The sequence below is a fragment of the Homo sapiens genome, chromosome 7, assembly GCF_000001405.40.
Source record: "Homo sapiens chromosome 7, GRCh38.p14 Primary Assembly".
Lineage (NCBI taxonomy): Eukaryota > Metazoa > Chordata > Mammalia > Primates > Hominidae > Homo > Homo sapiens.
This window is the reverse complement of record NC_000007.14, coordinates 32,944,287-32,962,522: the sequence shown is the minus strand read 5'-3', so window position 1 is coordinate 32,962,522 and position 18,236 is coordinate 32,944,287. Positions and strand designations below refer to the sequence as shown.

Below are 18,236 nucleotides of genomic sequence, written 5' to 3'. Positions count from 1 at the left end.
CAGCCTGGGCAACAAAGTGAGACGCTGTCTCAAAAAAAAGAAAAGAATGAATAAATGAATGAATATACAAAATGAAGTTGACCCCTGTTATTGAGTTCATGATTCTTTTATTTAGTTAGTTAGTTTTTGAGAAGGAGTTTAGCTCTCGTTGCCCAGGCTGTAGTGCAGTGGTGCAATCTCGACTCACCGCAACCTCCACCTCCCAGGTTCAAGCGATTCTCCTGCCTCAGCCTCCCGAGTAGCTGGGATTGCAGGCATGCGCCACCACACCCAGCTAATTTTTTGTATTTTTAGTAGAGACGGGGTTTCTCCATGTTGGTCAGGCTGGTCTCCAACTCCCTCAGGTGATCTGCCCGCCTTGGCCTCCCAAAGTGCTGGGATTACAGGCATGAGCCACCGTGCCTGGCTGAGTCTGTGATTCTTTTAGAGCAGTGGTCCCCAACCTTTTTGGCCCCAAGGACCAGTTTCATGAAAGGAATTCACTTTTTCCATGACCGGGGTGGGGGGATGGTTTTGGGATTATTCAGATACATCAAATTTATTGTGCACTTTATTTCCATTATTATTACACCGTAATATATAATGAAATAATTATACAACTCACCATAATGTAGAATCAGTGGGAGCCCTGAGCTTGTTTTCCTGCAACTAGATGGTCCCATCTAGGGGTGATGGGAGACAGTGACAGATCATCACGCATTAGATTCTCATAAGGAGCACATAACCTAGATCCCTCCCATGTGCAGTACACAATAGGGTTCATGTGCCTGTGAGAATCTAATGCCCCTCCTGATCTGACAGGAGGCCGAGCTCAAGCAGTGATGTGAGCAATGCGGAGACACTGTAAATACAGATGAAGCTTTGCTTGCTCACCTGCTGCTCACCTCCGGCTGTGCAGCCCGGTTCCTAACAGGCCACAGACCACAACAGGTCCATGGCTCAGGGGTTAGGGACCCCTGTTCTATTTATTTATTTACTATTTATTTATTTTTGTAAATTGATATCCCATTTCAGTACCCCTGTTTTAGAGCAGTGGTTCTCAAAGTGTGGTCCTCAGACCAGTAGCATCAGCTGGGAACTTGTCAGAAAAGCAAATTCCTAGGCCCTATCCCAGAGCTACTGAATCGGAAACTGTATAACAAGCTCTCTACGTGATTCAGAAGTATATGTAGTTTAAACACTACTGTGCTAGAGCATCTAGAACTCTGTATACCCAAAAAGGTATGTGGTAGGCACATAATAATATTTATCAAAAGACAAGCCTGGACCTTGGGGTCTGCAGACACACCCCTGAGCTCCTCCCAGGTGAATTTTCATCATCCTTGGGTCTTATCCCTGCCATACCAGGATTCCATCCTAACCTCCCCCACACACAGACACAAAAATATATAGTTAAACCTTCTCTGTGCTTTCATAGCTACTTACCTTTCTTCTGTCATATACATGGGTGGACTACAGACCATAGATTATGGCCATGAACTACCTGGGTTCAAATCTCCACTCAACCACTTAGTACTTATGTTCCTTGGGCAAATCATTTGAACTTTCTGAGCCTCAGTTTATTCATTTGTAATGAGGTACCTACCTCACTGTCTTGAGAAGTTAAACAAATTATTCTAAGATTAAATGAGTTAACATATGTGAAGGCACATGGTAAGAACTATGTGTGAACTCTATGAGAGACAGAGTGTGTGCTACTGTCTTACTGTACTTATCACACCATGTTGTAATAGCCTAGGCTGTAAGTGGTAGGGATGGGGAAGAAGCATACTAGACTAGGACTAGTCTCTCTCTTGAGGGATAGACGCTGAAAAACGTTTGATGAATGGATGGTAGATCCTCCATGCTCTTTCAACTGCCCTACACTACCTCACAGTGGCTGCCAGCCCTAGAGATGTTCTAGATAGTAGGACAACTTGTTCTACTGGAATTAATTACCATCAACTCAAGCAAGAAATTCTTCCCTATGAAAGAAGCACATGAAAGAAGATACACAAATGGTCAATACGCATATGATGCTCAACATCGTTAGCCATTAGAGAAATGCAGATCGAAACCACAATGAGATATCATTTCACACCCACTAAATGGTTATAATCAAAGACACAGGCCAGGCGTGGTGGCTCCCGCCTGTAATCCCAGCACTTTGGGAGGCCGAGGTGGGCAGATCACCTGAGGTCAGGAGTTCAAGACCAGCCTGGCCAACATGGTGAAACCTCGTCTCTACTAAAAATACAAAAATTAGCCAGGCGTGGTGGCAGGCACCTGTAATCCCAGCTACTCAGGAGGCTGAGGTAAGAGAATTGCTTGAACCCGGGAGGCAGGGAGGTTGCAGTGAGCTGTGATCGCACCATTGCACTCCAGCCTGGGTGACAAGAGCAAAATTCCATCTCAAAAAAAAAAAAAAAAAAAAAGACAAGTACAAGTGTTGTTGAGACCGTGGAGAACTATGAACCTTCATACACTGCTGGTGGGAATGTAAAATGGTGCAGCCATTGTGGGGAAACAGGTTGGCTATTCTTCAAAACGTTTATAACATAGGTGCCATAGGACGCAGCAATTCCAACTCCTAGGTATATATCCAAAAAAAGGAAAAGGTACATCCACACAAAACCTTGCACATGAATGTTCATAACATCATTCATGATAGCCAAAAAGTATAAGCAATCCAAATGTCCATCAACTGATGAATGGACACAATGGAATATTACATATACAGCCACAAAAAGGAATGAAGTACTGATATACCTTACACCGTAAATGAACCATGAAAGAAGCCAATTATAAATAAATAACAAAGCACCTCAAATTATATGATTCCATTTATACAAAATGTCCAGAAGAGGCAAATCCATAGAGACATAAAGTGGATTCGTGGCTGAAAGGGACTGGAGGGCAGTCTAACTGGGGTTGGGGAGTGACTGATAATGGGTCCAGCGTTTCTTTTTTGGGGGTGATGAAAATGTTCTGGAAATAGCTAGTTGTGATGTTTGCACTACTCTGTGAATATACTAAAAAACACTGAATTGTACACACCAAATGGGCAAATTGTATGGCATTATATCTCAATAAAGCTGTTTTTTTTGTTTCGTTTTTTGTTTTTTGTTTTGTTTTGTTTTTTGAGACGGAGTCTCCCTGTCACCCAGGTTGGAGTGCAGTGGCACGTCTCGGCTCACTGCAGGCTCCGCCTCCCAGGTTCACGCCATTCTCCTGTCTCAACCTCCCGCGTAGTTGGGATTACAGGCGCCCGCCACCTCGCCCGGCTAATTTTTTGTATTTTTAGTAGAGACCGGGTTTCACCGTGTTAGCCAGGATGGTCTCGATCTCCTGACCTCGTGATCCGCCCGCCTCGGCCTCCCAAAGTGCTGGGATTACAGGCGTGAGCCACCGCGCCCGGCCTGTTGTTTTTTTTTTTTAAAGTAACTAAAATGGTAGTAAGAATGACCATTTCTAAGCGCTTGCTAGTGCCACATACTATGCTGAACAGCTTTTGTATATTCATTGTCTGGAACTTCAAAAAAGTCAAGAGTCTACAAAATATTCGTAATGACCCTAGGCCTTGGGGCACATAGCAGGGGCTCAACAAATAGCTCTCTCTGCCTGATCTAGTGTTCGCGAAGGGAAGTGCTGGCACAGACCAGGGTTTGTAACAAAAGCCTTGGCGAGGAGTAGCCTGGTGCTGGACGAAGAGAGGCCTGTTAACCCCGAACCTAAACTGGAGGGAAACGGGAGAGCAGTGCTGTGATCCTGAGGCAGAGCTGAGAGAAGGAGTTCTGGGCTTGATATAGGGCCTGGTATAAAGCAGAGTGACGGTCCTGGACTACCTCCTGCCCACGAGAGGTGTCGTGTTGTGTTTTGTTTTGTGATGGGATCTCTCTCTGTCTCCCAGGCTGCAGTGCAATGGCACGATCATAGCTCACAGCAGCCCCAAACTCCTGGGCTCAAGCGATCCTCCCGCCTCGTTCTCTCAAAGTGCTGGGACTACAGGCGTGAGCCACCACGCCCAGCCCCAAGAGAGGTTTTTGTATGGCAGGAAAGGAAGGGCAGTGGTAGTTGCGCACACAGACTCTGGAGTTGGATTAAACAATCTGACTCCATTGTTTAAACACGTTTCTTAGCCGCAGTTGCTTGTTACCTTACTGATAAAATGAGGGTAGTGATAGTACCTACCTCACAAGACTGCTGTACAATTAAATGAGTTCACTACAATATGGAAAGTACTTAGAACTACACCTACACATTGTTAACAGCTCATTGTATGTTTGGGGCTGCTAGCCTCTTCATCATTGTTCTGTGTGAGAAGCACCATCTGACTAGATTCCCAAGGGAGCGGAGGGAAGGAACAGGAAAGGGCGAAGAGAGGCAGGCACGAACATCCACTCTTGGGGGTCCAGTTGTGCAACGTGGCCTCCACTTACACTGATTATTTTACACTGATTTTGCGTGTGTCCATGCGCTGGGAGGAAAGGGAGGACGTGGTCTGCCCCAACCCCGCTGCTCAAGGTCCTCCAAGGGTCCAGTCCCCGGCTGGCAGCCTAGGGCACGTGAGGGCCGGGAGGCTCACCCGCGGCGGAGGGTCTGGGGTCCGGGAGGATCTGGGCAGCGGAAGAAGGGAGGAGCGCGGCTGCACGGGGCGGAGCTAGGGGAGGTCCGGCAGGAGGGAAAGGCCTGTCCGGAGAGAGGGACGCGCATCCGCTGAGGCCGCGCCGGGCGCCAAGGGCGCGGTACCTGGAGTCGAACTTCTGGCCGTCGGGGAACGTCCCCACGTAGTGGTAGCGCACGAAGTCGCCGCTGCGCACGGTGCGCGGGCACTCGTCGGGCACGAAGCGCCGCTCGATCTGCAGCTCCGCGTCGGAGCCCAGGCCCGCCACGGGCGCTGCCTGCCCGGTCACCCAGAGCAGCAGCAGGAGCAGCGGTGGCGGCGGGGGCCTCCAGCCCCGGAACGCCATCGGGGCGGCGAGAAGAGTGGCGCGGACGCAGCGCGGCGCTCGGGCGGCACGGGTCGGCCTGGGCGTTCGGCTGCGTTTGCAAACGTGGACCGGGTCTCCTGGCCCTACCCGGGCTGCAGCCGCCACCCCGTCTCCCCGGCCGCCCGCCCTCCCGGCCGCAGCTCCAGGGGAGGAGCCCAGCCTGGCCGCGCGCCGAGGGCGGGCCTGCTGCGCCCTGCCCCGCCCGGCATTGGGAATGTGCGTGCCGCAGCGGGGAGGGGGGCTGGGAACTCCAGTGGGGACCAAGTCTGGGCCTAGAGAGGGCGTGTCCCCGAGCGAGACACTGTGATCTCCGGACAAGGCTTTGGCCCAAAGTCGGAAGAGAAAAGCGCGTACTGCCCAAGCCCACCCGCTGGTCTCCGCCCGTCCCTGGAGACACCGGGTTTGGTGCCGTGAGGGGCTCCTACGTGGCCGTGGATCCAATTTTCCCTTGCTGCTTTGGAGAGGGAGGGAAAATTAGATTTTAATTTTTTAAGCTTAGTTACAAGGGTATGGTCTACCTTGAAAGAGACCGAAACCATCCTTCAGGACTTTTTTTTTTTTTTTTTAATACTGCTTAAAGGAAAAGGAAGGCCGGGCGCCGTGGCTCACGCCTGTAATCCCAACGCTTTGGGAGGCCAAGGCAGGCGGATCACGAGGTCAGGAGATGGAGACCATCCTGGCCAACATGATGAAACCCCGTCTCTACTAAAAATACAAAAAAATTAGCCAGGCTTGGTGGCGCGTGCCTGTAGTCCCAGCTACTCGGGAGGCTGAGGTAGGAGAATCGCTGGAACCCGGGAGGCGGAGGTTGCAGCGAGCCGAGATCGCGCCACTGCACACCAGCCCTGGCGACAGTACGAGACACTGTCTCCAAAAAAAGAAAAGGGAGGCATGTATTGCGAGAGGCTCCCGTGACACTTGTCTAGGCAAAAGTTTTAAGGCACCGTGAGGGTCCTCCAAGCCATCAGCGGCCGCACTGTGAGCTGATACTTGCAGACATCCTACAAGCTCCCATATACGAGCCTATGCCAGGGAGGACTTCATCATAGAGACCCAGAAGCCACAGGAATCCATTAGAGTAATCAGATGCACTTGGAATTGGAATTGGGTGTTATAATTTATTAAAATTTTGGAATAATGAAAGCAAATCACCAACTCTTTCTCAACTCGTTTTGGAAGCAAACACAATTCTGATACCAAAACCTGGCAAAGAGAGCAACAAAAAAGAAAAATAAAACTGAAAAAACAGGGCACGATCTAATTTATAAATATAAATGCAAAAATACTGAATAAAACGTAATAAAATCGGATTCAACCGCATATTAGGCCAGGCGCAGTGGCTCACACCTGTAACCCTAGCACTTTGGGAGGCCGAGGTGGTTGGATCACCTGAAGTCAGGAGTTCAAGACCAGCCTGTCCAACATGGTGAAACCCTGGCTCTACTAAAAATACAAAAATTAGCAGGGTGTGGTGGCACGGCCTGTAGTCCCAGCTACTTGGGAGGCTGAGGCAGAAAAATTGCTGGAACCTGGGAGTCGAAGGTTGCAATGAGCCGAGATTGTGCCACTAAATTGCACCACTGCACTCCAGCCCAGGCGACAGAGTGAGACTCTGCCTCAAAAAAAAAATAAATAAAAAATTTAAAAAACGGTATGTTAAAGGAAAAATATACCATTACATGGGCTACCTAGGTGAGCTTCTGTAAATTAACAAAATGTCAGTGTTCTCTGTAAGATGAAGATAAAACAATCATTATAAGATTACTATAATCTTAGGTTTCAGGGATCGAATGAGAAACTACATGAATAACAAGAAAAATGTTCATTGTTCATCTTAGAGCTTATTCTAGAAATAGAACACCTATTAATAAAATTATAGGACAGAAGAAGGGAAAAAAAGCTCTAAGATCATGTGGCCATAGACTCAAAACGGCATGAGATAAAATTCAACATCTACCTCTGATTTTGAAAACAAACAGAGGGCCTGGTGGCTCACTTCTGTAATCCTGGCACTTTAGAAGGCCGAGGCAGGAGTATCACTTGAGCCCAGGAGTTTGAGACCAGCCTGGGCAACATGGCAAAACCCCACCTCTACGAAAAAATACAAAAATTACTCACCCCTGTAATCCCAGCACTTTGGGAGGCCAAGGGGGGCAGATTGCTTGATCTCAGGAGTTTGAGACCAGCCTGGGCAACCTGGTGAAACCCCGTCTCTACTAAAAGTACAAAAATTAGCTAGGTGTGGTGTTGCATGCCTATAATCCCAGCTACTCCGGTGGCTGAGGCAGGAGAATCGCTTGAACCCCAGAGGCAGAGGTTGCACTGAGCCAAGATCGCACAATTGCACTCCAGCCTGGGTGACAGAGCAAAACTCTATCTCAAAAAAAAAAAAAAAAAAAAAAGAAAAAACTTTCTGATTGTAGTCTATTAAGTCTATTAATGGCACTGACCACCAAAAAGTACTTTTGCATGTCATCTTTGTGTTGTCAAACAATACCTTGATTTTGAAGTATATAATCATTGATAATAAAAATTGTTATACATTTTATTGGCATGAATTCAGACATTCAGTTCATTCACTACACATATACTTTGGTCCAGTCTTTGCTTCACTTATGTCTCCGTGGCTTCAGGCAAGTCAGGTAACTTCTTACTTCCACCCTTGACTGTAAAACAGATGATACTTATCTTGCCTACTGACCTCTTACGGCAATTTGGGGAAATATCTTGGTGCTGAATTAGTTTCTAGGCTCAGACGCTAAACATACAATACATATTAATTGGTAAAGACTTGGGATTTGAAACTTGATCTTTTGAACTAGATGCCAAGAAGTCCAATCTTCATGACAACTCTGTATAAGGTCATAGGTGTAATCACTACTTTACAGAAAAAATAAACTCCAGCCTGGGCAACTGAGTGATACCCTGTCTCAAAAAGAAAAACAAAAACCAAACAAAAATTAGCCAGATGTGGTGGTGTGTGCCTGTAGTCCCAGCTATTTGGGAAGCTGATGTTGGAGGATCGCTTGAGCCCTGGATGTTGAGGCTGCAGTGAGCCATGATTTCACCACTGCACAATTGGCCTGGGTGACAGAGAGAGACTTTGTCTCAAAAAAAAAAAAAAAAAAAAAAAAAAAAGGTAGAGCAGGGCGGCCTGCACCTGTAGTCCCCGTTCAGCTACTTCGGAGGCTGAGGTGGAAGATCATCTTCAACCTAGAAGATGGAGGCTGCAATGAATTGTGATCACACCACTGCACTCCAGCCTAGGTGACAGAGTGAGAGCCTGTCTAAAAATATATATAAAATAAAATAAAAATGAATGTCTGCTCGTGGTGGCAGGATCTAGGAGCCTGTAGTCCTAACTACTTGAGAGCCTGAGGTGGGAGGATCTCTTGAGCCCAGAAGTTCAAGTCCAGCCTGGGCAACATACCACGACTCTGTCTCAAAAAAGAAAAAAAAAATCTTGCTATTAAAAAATGTCACAAATTTTTTAAAGACAAATGATAAATTAAAAAAATACTTGGCCAGGCGCTGTGGCTCACGCCTGTAATCCCAACACTTTGGGAGGCCGAGGCGGGCGGATCGCGAGGACAGGAGATCGAGACCATCCTGGCTAACACGGTGAAACCCCATCTCTACTAAAAATACAAAAATTAGCCGGGCGTGGTAGCGGGCGCCTGTAGTCCCAGCTACTCAGGAGGCTGAGGCAGGAGAATGGCGTGAACCCGGGAAGGGGAGCTTGCAGTGAGTTGAGATCGCACCACTGCACTCCAGCCTGGCGACAGAGCAAGACTCCATCTCAAAAAAAAAAAAAAAAAAAAAAAAAAAACAACTTACGGCCAGGCATGGTGGCTCACGCCTGTAATCCCAGCACTTTGAGAGGCTGAGGCGGGTGGATCATGAGGTCAGGAGTTCAAGACCAGCCTGGCCAAGATGGTGAAACCCCGTCTCTACTAAAAATACAAAAATTAGCTGGGCGTGGTGGCAGGCATCTGTAATCCCAGCTACTCGGGAGGCTGAGGCAGGAGAATCACTTGAACCCCAGGGACGGAGGTTGCAGTGAGCCCAGATCACACCACTGCACTCCAGCCTGGGCAACAGAGTGAGACTCTGTCTCAAAACAAACAAACAAAAAAACCCTTACAACTATATGACAAAACAAATGTGTAAGCATAAGTGAACACCCCATCTGTGTTGGCCTGAAATTCTTTGAGGCTCCTCCCATTTAGAAGTGGAGTTTATGATTATCCTGTTGAATCTGGATAGGCCCGCAGCTGTGCTGACCAATAGAATACAGTCTAACTGGTGGGCCGTGACTTCTGGGCTAGATTATAAAAGGCCATGTTGTTTCCACCTGGTTCACTGGAACACTTGCCCCTTAAGTCCTGATCCCTGTAAGAAGTCCCACTACCTAGAGTCCTCCATGCTGGGGAGGTCACAGGCAGACTCTGTGATTGACATTCACACCTGAGCCCATACCTCAGCCATCCCAGCATAGGCAGCAAAAATGTGAGTAAAGCAGCCCCTGGATTAGCCATCTGCCATATGTTCAAGTCAGCCCAGCCATTTGAGCAGTAAAAATAATGTAGCAGACAAAGCCATGACTGCTATATCCTGCCAAAATTCCTGACCCACAGAATTTGTAAGCATATTAGATTGTTGTTTTTAAACTCTGGGGTGGTATATTATGCAGCAGTACAACAAAACTGAAGTCGGAATACACAGGTGAAGACTTCAGAAAAGAGGAAATACAAATAAATATATTCACCCTCACTAGTAATCAAGAAAATAAAATATGCTGGGTGCGGTGGCTCACACCTGTAATCCCAGAACTTTGAAAGGCCGAGGCAGGTGGATCACCGGAGGTCAGTAGTTCGAGACCAGCCTGGCCAACATGGTGAAACCCTGTCTCTACTAAAAATACAAAAATTAGCTAGGTGTGGTAGCACACGCCTGTATTTCCAGCTGCTGGGGAGGCTGAGGCAGGAGAATCACTTGAACCTGGGAGGTGGAGGTGACAGTGAGTCCAGATCACACCACTGCACTCAAGCCTGGGTGACAGAGCAAGACTCTGTCTCAAAAATAAAAAAGAAAAGAAAATAGAGAGTGTACTTTCACTTGTACCAAAGGCTGCACCTCCCCAATCTATAGATTGTTTCTCAGAAAATAAAAGGTCTCAATTTTCCTCAAAAAAAGAAAAGAAAATTAAGACAATGAAGTACATTGTTACAGCATTTAAAGAGATGCATGATTTTGTTTTGTTTTGTTGTTGTTTTGGTTTAGTTTGTTTTTTGTTTGTTTTTTTATTTTGAGACGGAGTCTCGCTCTGTCACCCTGGCTGGAGTGCAGTGGCGTGATCTCGGCTCACTGTGAGCTCCACCTCCCAGGTTTACGCCATTCTCCTGCCACAGCCTCCCGAGTAGCTGGGACTACAGGAGCCCGCCACCACGCCCGGCTAATTTTTTTGTGTGTTTAGTAGAGACGGGGTTTCACCGTGTTAGCCAGGATGGTCTCGATCTCCTGACCTCGTGATCCACTCGCCTCGGCCTCCCAAAGTGCTGGGATTACAGGCGTGAGCCACTGCGCCCGGCCAAGTTTTTTGATACCAAGTAACAGAACTCCAAATTTCACATAGGGAATTAAAAAAAATCATTTGAGGAATACCAGAGGTTTTCACTCAATTGAGGGGTTGTATCCAATTCAAAGAAGTGGCCAGGTTTCCCCTCCTAGGAGGAGTTCAGGAATCACTAGAACCAATATGGCTGTTTGCTGACATGCTCTGTCTCCATTTCTTGTTTCTGCATGTTTGTATATGGGCTTTGTTCTAAGATGCAGATTGTCTTCTGCCACATATCAAAAAACAACGCCCTTGACATCTCTTAACTTGAACATCTGGCAGGACATTGCAGCCCCAGTGATAGCGGATCTCATCATGTCTGTCATTGTAATTGGTCCTGATAGCTGCCGCCAGCTTAGCCAAAGTGCCTTTGTCTTCTGAGTTCACCTGTGTGAAGGCGACAGTGGTGCAGGTCTTCCGGTGGACTAGATGTCCCAGTCTTGCCTTCCCCTTGATAATGCAGTAAGGGACCCTCATTTTACAGCACAGGGCAGGCAACAAGACAACCAGCTGGAAGAAAGCATTAGCTGAAGAGTGTATTTTGACCAAAAGCAGTAAATTTCAAAGTTAATACCCAGCTAATTTTTTAAAAAAAATTTTTAGTAGAGATAAGATCTCACTATGTTGCCTAGGCTGGTCTCCAACTCCTGGGCTCAAGAGATCCTTCCACTTCAACCTCTCAAATTGCTAGCATTATAGGCATGAGGCACCAGGCCCAGCCAGGGTTTAGGATTTTGTTTTTACTTTAAAGGTTTGACACCTGTCCAGTAACACAGGCTAAGGATCACGTGCAGCTGCCCCACCACTATTGGGTCAACACCAAGGCCGCCTGGCTGGCCTCAAGAATGAATCTGGTATCTTAGGACGGGCAGAAGAACAAACTAAAAAACAAACCGAGGGGCTCATGGACAGGAGAATACGACAGCGAGAGAGTACAAACAGAAGTGTTCCTCACTTGCGTAGGCTAGGTGCCACAGTACAATGTGAAGGGTGCCTCCATATGTGTTTATGGTTGGCTAACAATCACTTTACTCTCTCTCTGGAAATGGACTGTGCCTGCACAACCTTCCAGATGAAACAGGCATAAACTAAATGATGATGGGTTAAAAAAATGCTTTAAAGTTGTAATCACCAGGGAAAGAATTCCATAACCATCCATTGGTTAATGGACGGGATATTATTGCATCGAATCTCTTGGTATCAGAAAACTGGGCTGGATTTGAGAGGTGACCCCATATAATGAAGAACCTGACTGCATTTTTGGTGTTCTACCACTGAAAACTTTCAAGCTCCACTTCCACGGTTCCCTCTGCCCCACATGTGAATAAGCCAATAGAAACCCCATGCACTCCTTCCCTTGGCACTGTAGGCGGAAGTTCAAGCCACACAAAACCTGGGCCCTTGTGCAGGAATGCTCACCCAGGTTCCACCCCTAACTGCAGTAATCCCAGGGCCACTTGCTTTTGCTTTGTCGAAGCCATTTTTGGACTGGCTGAGGCACCTGACCTGCTCTCCCCAAAAGCTTCAAAATGTGAGTAATACATTTCTTTTTCTTTTTTTGTTTTTTGTTTTGTTTTGTTTTTTCAAACAGTTTCACTCTGCCACCAGGCTGGATGGTGATCATGGCCAACTGCACCCTTGACCTCATGGGCTCAAGCAGTCCTCCCACCTCAGCCTCCCAAAGTTGCTGAGATCACAGGCATGAGCCATCACATCCCACCATCAAAAAAACTTCTCAGTCTGGTGTCAAAATATGTAATGAACCTAGATTCACATAAACAGGTGGAAATAAAGGCAAAAAGAATTTTCACTGCTTTATCAGCTCTAAGACACAAATTGGGAAAAGAAAAAAACTCTTATATCGGGAATGCCAATTCTTTTAAATTATCAGGCTAAGACAGACATGAAGTAAAACACAAATCACATTCTACTTTCCCCTTGAACTATGTATTCATCTCTTGAAACTACTTGCTATTGGCTGGGGGTGGTGGCTCACGCCTGTAATCCCAACACTTTGGGAGGCCGAGGTGGGCAGATCACGAGGTTAGGAGATTGAGACCATCCCAGCTAACACAGTGAAACCCTGTCTCTACTAAAAAATACAAAAAGAAATTAGCCGGCATGGTGGCAGGTGCCTGTAGTCCCAGCTACTCAGGAGGCCGAGGCAGGAGAATGGCATGAACCCGGGAGGCGGAGCTTGCAGTGAGCCGAGATCGCGCCACTGCACTCCAGCCTGGGTGACAGAGCAAGACGCCATCTCAAAAAAAAAAAAAAAGAAAGAAAAGAAACTACTTGCTCTTGCAACAAGTAGCAATAAATTAACCTAATAATGTCACACAGGACACTATAACCCACACCCTATAGTTAAATAATGTATAGCTAATCACTAATCAATGTTAATTTTGTAAGCCAGTGAGAATTCTTGACAAACAACTTTGTATCAGCCTACTACCTGCCCCCACCTTTTTACTTTCAAAAATCCACTTTTGGCTGGTTTTGGGGGCTTCCGCCTGTAATCCCAGTACTTTGGGAGGCTAAGGCAGGAGGATTCTTTGAGGTCAGGAGTTTGAGGCCAGCAAAATAGGGGGACTCCATTTCTACAAAATATTAAAAAATTATCCAGGCATGGTGGCACACACCTGTGGTCCCAGCTACATGGGAGACTGAGGCAGGAGAATTGCTTGAGCCCAGGAGGTTTGAGACTAAAGTGAGCCATGATCACACCATTGCACACCAGCCTGGACAACAGAGCGAGATGTTGTCTCAAAAAAAAAAAATCCACTTTTAACTGCTGCTAATTGGAGTGCATATTCAGGACAACTTGAATCTATGCCCCCAGGTTGCAATCCTCAAGCCTGGCCCAAATAAACTCTCTAACTTATATTAATTTTGCCTCAGCTTCTTTCTTTTAGGTGAACATAATTATCAAGAAGAGATGACTAGAATGCAGATCCTGTCAGATTATTGAACTGCACATTTCCTACCCAGCATCCCAGCATCCCCCGTCTTTCTCTCTCTATCTCTCTGTCTCTGTCTCTGTCTCTCTCTGTTTAAGTCATAGCACATTGATTTTGGTTTCCAGAACTACCCCTTCCCCACTGTCAGTCTACATGACAGGGGTAAAGCTGATTCCACCCCTGGTAATTATGGCAGGCATGTAACCTAGGCTTGGCCAGAGTGACGCAGGATTTTTCTCAGTCATTTTGCCAGCTAGGGACCTCCAGCTGGTACCACTGCCACCTGGGCCTTGCTCAGGCATGCTACCTGCTGCAGGAGGTGCCCTGCCTACTCAGTCTGCCTGAGCCAAGTCTGGCTTGTGCATTGGCTCAGTCCGTGGCTGGGCCAGGTGTGCCTCAGCTCTCCTGTGTTACAGCATGTACACACATTCAGTGGTTCCTAAGTTCCTGTCCCATGTCCAAGAAGAATAAGGATACACTGACAATTGAAGGGTGAGGAGGGTGGAGAAGAACTTTATTGAGCAATGGAATAGCTCTCAGCGGAGAGGGGATGCAGAGGTGGCCTCCTGCTCACCCCCCTCCCCCGTCGGTTGGTTTCTCTCTCAGTGTGGCTGAGTCTGGGGCTTTTATGAGCTCAGAATAGGGAAGTGCATGCTGATTGGTTTGTGAGTACGCAAAGAAAGGCTAAAGCAAAAGCACCCCTCAAAGGTGGGTATGGCAGTGTAGAAAACCAATTAGGAAAGGGTAGGTATATGTAAAATAGGTGAAGGGTGGAGAATCAATCAGAGGAAAGCATGTCAAATGGGAAGACAGATTCTCAATCTCATCCGTAGATTTGACTTATAGCTTGGCTTTCAGGTTTTACACTGTCTTCAGCTTGTAGGTGGGGTTTCTCCAGGGACCTGCCCCTATCTGCCTAGGCATTTGTCTGCCTACTGCTGCTATGAAGAGCACCGCATCTCTCTGACCACAGTGATTTTTTTCCTTCAGAGCTACGTGATGTTTGCTGAGTCAATGAGCATAGTTTAAGTTTTTTGGAAATAAGATTTCTTTCAGTGGAGGCTGCTAAATTGGTGGCCATCTATGCCTTCTAGTGTCCATCTTTGCCACCACAATGAGAGAACCTACATGAGAATAAATCAATACAAAGGAAGGTGAGGCTGAGAGAGGGAGAAAGTGCTGACTGTATAATTTCAGCACCTAGATACAGTCATTCCTGAAGCTTCACCCGTGGACATTTCACATATGTGAGCCAATAAATTCCTTTTTTTTTTCCTTAAAACAGCGTGATTTGGATTTTGGTCCATTGCTATTTTCAAAAGAGCCTTGATGCATAGTTGCTTAAGTGGAAATATTGATCCCTGGGTCTTCTTGGTGAGAAAATAAATCACTGTTGTTGTATATCTAACAAGGCAAATATTTGAATCAGTCAAAACTCTTTCAATTGCAAGTGAGAGAAACCTGACTCAATTGGTTTCAGCACAAAATTATATCTTAACATTTTTAGACTACTTGCTTGCTGACTCTAAGGTCACTGATTATGGCTGGACAATTTCTTTCTTTTCTTTTACCCTAAAGGAATTAAATAAAAGGGTTCATGCTTATAATCCCAGCACTTGGGGTGGCTGAGGCAGGAGGATTGCTTGAGCCCAGGAATTCAAAGCTGGAACGAGCTGTGATCGTGCCTCTGCACTCCAGCCTTGGCATAGCTAAAATTATTGTCTAACTGAACACCTTTTTAAGAAATATAAAAATATAAAAAATATAGAAAATATAAAAATATAAAAAGAGGGCCAGGTGCTGTGGCTCACACCTGTAATCCCAGCACTTTGGGAGGCCGAGGTAGGCAGATCAATTGAGGTCAGGAGTTGGAGACCAGCCTAGCCAACATGGCAAAACCTCATCTCTATTAAAAATACAAAAATTAGCCAGGAGTGGTGGTGTGTGCCTGTAGTACCAGCTACTCAGGAGGCTGAGGCATGAGAATCACTTGAAGCCAGGAGGCAGAGGTTGCAGTGAGCTGAGATTGTGCTACTGCACTCCAACCTGGGCAACAGAGTGAGACTCTGTCTCAAAAAAAAAAAAAAAAAAAAAGGCCAGGCATGGTGGCTTACATCTGTGATGCCAGCACTGTGGGAGGCCGAGGTGGGCAGATAACCTGACATCAGGAGTTCAAGATCAGCCTGGTCAACATGGTGAAACCCTGTCTCTACTAAAAACACAAAAATTAGCCAGTTGTGGTGGTACATGTCTATAATCCCAGCTGAGGCAGGAGAATCGCTTGAAACTGGGAGGCGGAGATTGCAGTGAGTCAAGATCATGTCACTGCACTCCAGCCTGGGCAACAGAGTGAGACTCCATCTCAAGAAAAAAACAAACAATAACAACAAAAAACCAAACAACAACAACAAAACCACATCATTTTCCTGCATTGGTATTCCTTCTGGCTGATGACATTCCAGGAGTTGTTTTTTTTTTTTTTCTTAATTAAAGCTTCATTTGCCTGAAGAAGCCAGATAAGTTTCTCACTGGTTCAAAAATAATTATGTGTATGGAAGGATAAAAAGACACTTATGTGACCAGGCATGGTGGCTCATGTAATTCCATTGCTTTGGGAGACCAAGGTAGGAGGATCACCTGAGGTCAAGAGTTTGAGACCAGTCTGGGCAACATAGTGAGATCCCCTGTCTACAACAACAACAACGAAGACACTTATGCAATGGTGTTGCTGTTCAGTGATACTGTCTCCACTAAATTTGTGGTCTGTATATGAGTGCATGTGGAACGGATTTCTGTATACCTCAAACAACATAGAAACATGGCACAGAAGATGCGAAAACAGAGAATGCTGTTGGTGTATATAGAATCACAAAAGAATTTCAGAAAGAGTGGCACTTCATAGAAAATTAATGTGAACGTATTATCCAAGAAGAATCATGTTCTAAAAGGGAAAAAAAGCAGCTATTTATCCTGATGCAAGTCTTCCAATAATCATAAAATTGGCCAGCTCTTATGGACAATCTCCATGCAATTGGCCATGATCTATCCCTGTAATACACTGTAATTCCAGTTACTCAGGAGGCAGGAGGATTGCTGAGGATCGGCCTGGGCAACATAGTGAGACTTCATTTCTAACAACAACAACAACAACAAAAATTAAGTTAAAAGGGAAGGAAAAGTGAACAGAGCTTAAGGGACCAATGGGACATTATCAAGTGAACCAATTTATGCATTGTGGGAGTCCAGGAAACAGGAAAGAAATAGAAAGGGGCACAGAGACTATTTAAATAAATAATGGCCAAAACTTCTCAAATTTGATGAAATCCGTGAATATAAAAATCCAAGAAGTTCAACAAATTCCAATTAAGATGAACTCAAAGAGATTCACAACAAGACACATTATAGTCAAACTTTTGAAAGACAAAGACAAAGAGAGTATCTTTAAAGCAGCAAGAGAAGCAACTCATCTGACAAGGGATCCATAATTAGATTATGTGCAGATTTCTCATCAGAGACTTTAGAGGCCAGAAGGCACATGGCTAATATATTCAAATTGCTAAAAGGAAAAACCATCAATCATATGTCCTATATCGAGCAAGACTGTCCTTCAAAAATTAGGGACAAATTGAGACATTTCAAGATAAACAAAAGCCAAAGAAGTTTATTACCATTAGACAAGCCCTGAAAGAAATGTTCAAGGGAGTTCCACAGGCTGAAATAAAAGAACACTAGGCTAGGCACCGTGGCTCATGCTTGTATTCCCAGCACTTTGGAAGGCCGAGGCAGGTGGATCACTTGAGGTCAGGAGTTTGAGAACAGCCTGGCCAACATGGTGAAACCCCGTCTCTACTAAAAACACAAAAATTAGCTGGGCGTGGTGGCATATGCCTGTAATTCCAGCTATTTGGGAGGCTGAGGCACAAGAATCGCTTGAACCCTGGGGGCGGAGGTTGCAGTGAGCCAAGATTGAGCCACTGCATTCCAACCTGGGTGACAGAGTGAGATTTTCTTGGAAAAATGAGACAAAAATAAATTTAAAAAAAGAAGAAATAAAAGAACACTAGACAGTAAGCAGAAGCTATATGAAGAAATAAGGATCTCAATAAAGATAAATAGTCGGGTAATTATAAAACCTAGTATTGTAACAATGGTTTGTAACTGTAGTTATTGCCTTTTTTTTCTTTCTTTCTTTTGTTTTTTAGATGGAGTTTCACTCTTGTTGCTCAGGCTGGAGTGCAATGACGCAATCTTGGCTCACTGCAACCTCCGCCTCCCGAGTTCAAGCGATTCTCCTACCTCAGCCTCCCGAGTGGCTGGGAATTACAGGCATGTGCCACTACGCCCGGCTAATTTTTTGCATTTTTAGTGGAGATGGGGTTTCTCCATGTTGGTCAGGCTGGTCTCGAACTCCTGACCTCAGGTGATCTGCCCGCCTCAGCCTCCCAAAGTGCTGGGATTACAGGCATGAGCCACTTTAGCAAGTCTCTAAAAATAAATAAAAAATAAAATTTACCACCAAAGAAAAGCTCTGGACCTAATTGCTTCACTGGTGAATTCTACCAAACATTTAAAGAACTAACACCAGTTTGGCCGAGTGCAGTGGCTCATGCCTGTAATCCCAGCACTTTGGGAGGCTGAGGCAGGCGGATCACAAGGTCAGGAGATCGAGACCATGGTGAATCCCGTCTCTAC

The 18,236-nt window shown here is 45.8% G+C and overlaps 1 protein-coding gene and 1 pseudogene across 3 annotated transcripts in view, besides 3 other annotated features; both read right to left on the bottom strand.

Moving 5' to 3' along the window:
- The window catches only part of FKBP9 (FKBP prolyl isomerase 9), a 49,489-nt gene extending 44,406 nt beyond the window's left edge, over positions 1-5,083 (bottom strand). For all 3 annotated transcript variants that reach the window (NM_001284341.2, NM_007270.5, XM_011515115.4), the window contains exon 1: positions 4,729-5,083. In NM_001284341.2, the coding sequence (NP_001271270.1) occupies positions 4,729-4,949 (221 nt within the window). In that variant the 5' untranslated portion in view covers positions 4,950-5,083. The remainder of the gene's footprint in view (positions 1-4,728) is intronic.
- Positions 4,827-5,296: a silencer, noted in NCBI's record as "silent region_18084". NCBI's record gives its function as "represses an Ori minimal core promoter by ATAC-STARR-seq in GM12878 lymphoblastoid cells {active_cell/tissue: GM12878}" and the evidence as "EXISTENCE:reporter gene assay evidence [ECO:0000049][PMID:35858748]".
- Positions 5,286-6,236: an enhancer, noted in NCBI's record as "H3K27ac-H3K4me1 hESC enhancer chr7:32995899-32996849 (GRCh37/hg19 assembly coordinates)". NCBI's record gives its function as "activates a minimal SCP1, AML or CMV promoter by ChIP-STARR-seq in primed H9 embryonic stem cells {active_cell/tissue: H9 hESC(primed)}" and the evidence as "EXISTENCE:reporter gene assay evidence [ECO:0000049][PMID:30033119]".
- Positions 5,387-5,436: an enhancer, noted in NCBI's record as "active region_25832". NCBI's record gives its function as "activates an Ori minimal core promoter by ATAC-STARR-seq in GM12878 lymphoblastoid cells {active_cell/tissue: GM12878}" and the evidence as "EXISTENCE:reporter gene assay evidence [ECO:0000049][PMID:35858748]".
- On the bottom strand, positions 10,867-11,097 carry RPL7AP78 (ribosomal protein L7a pseudogene 78; annotated as a pseudogene).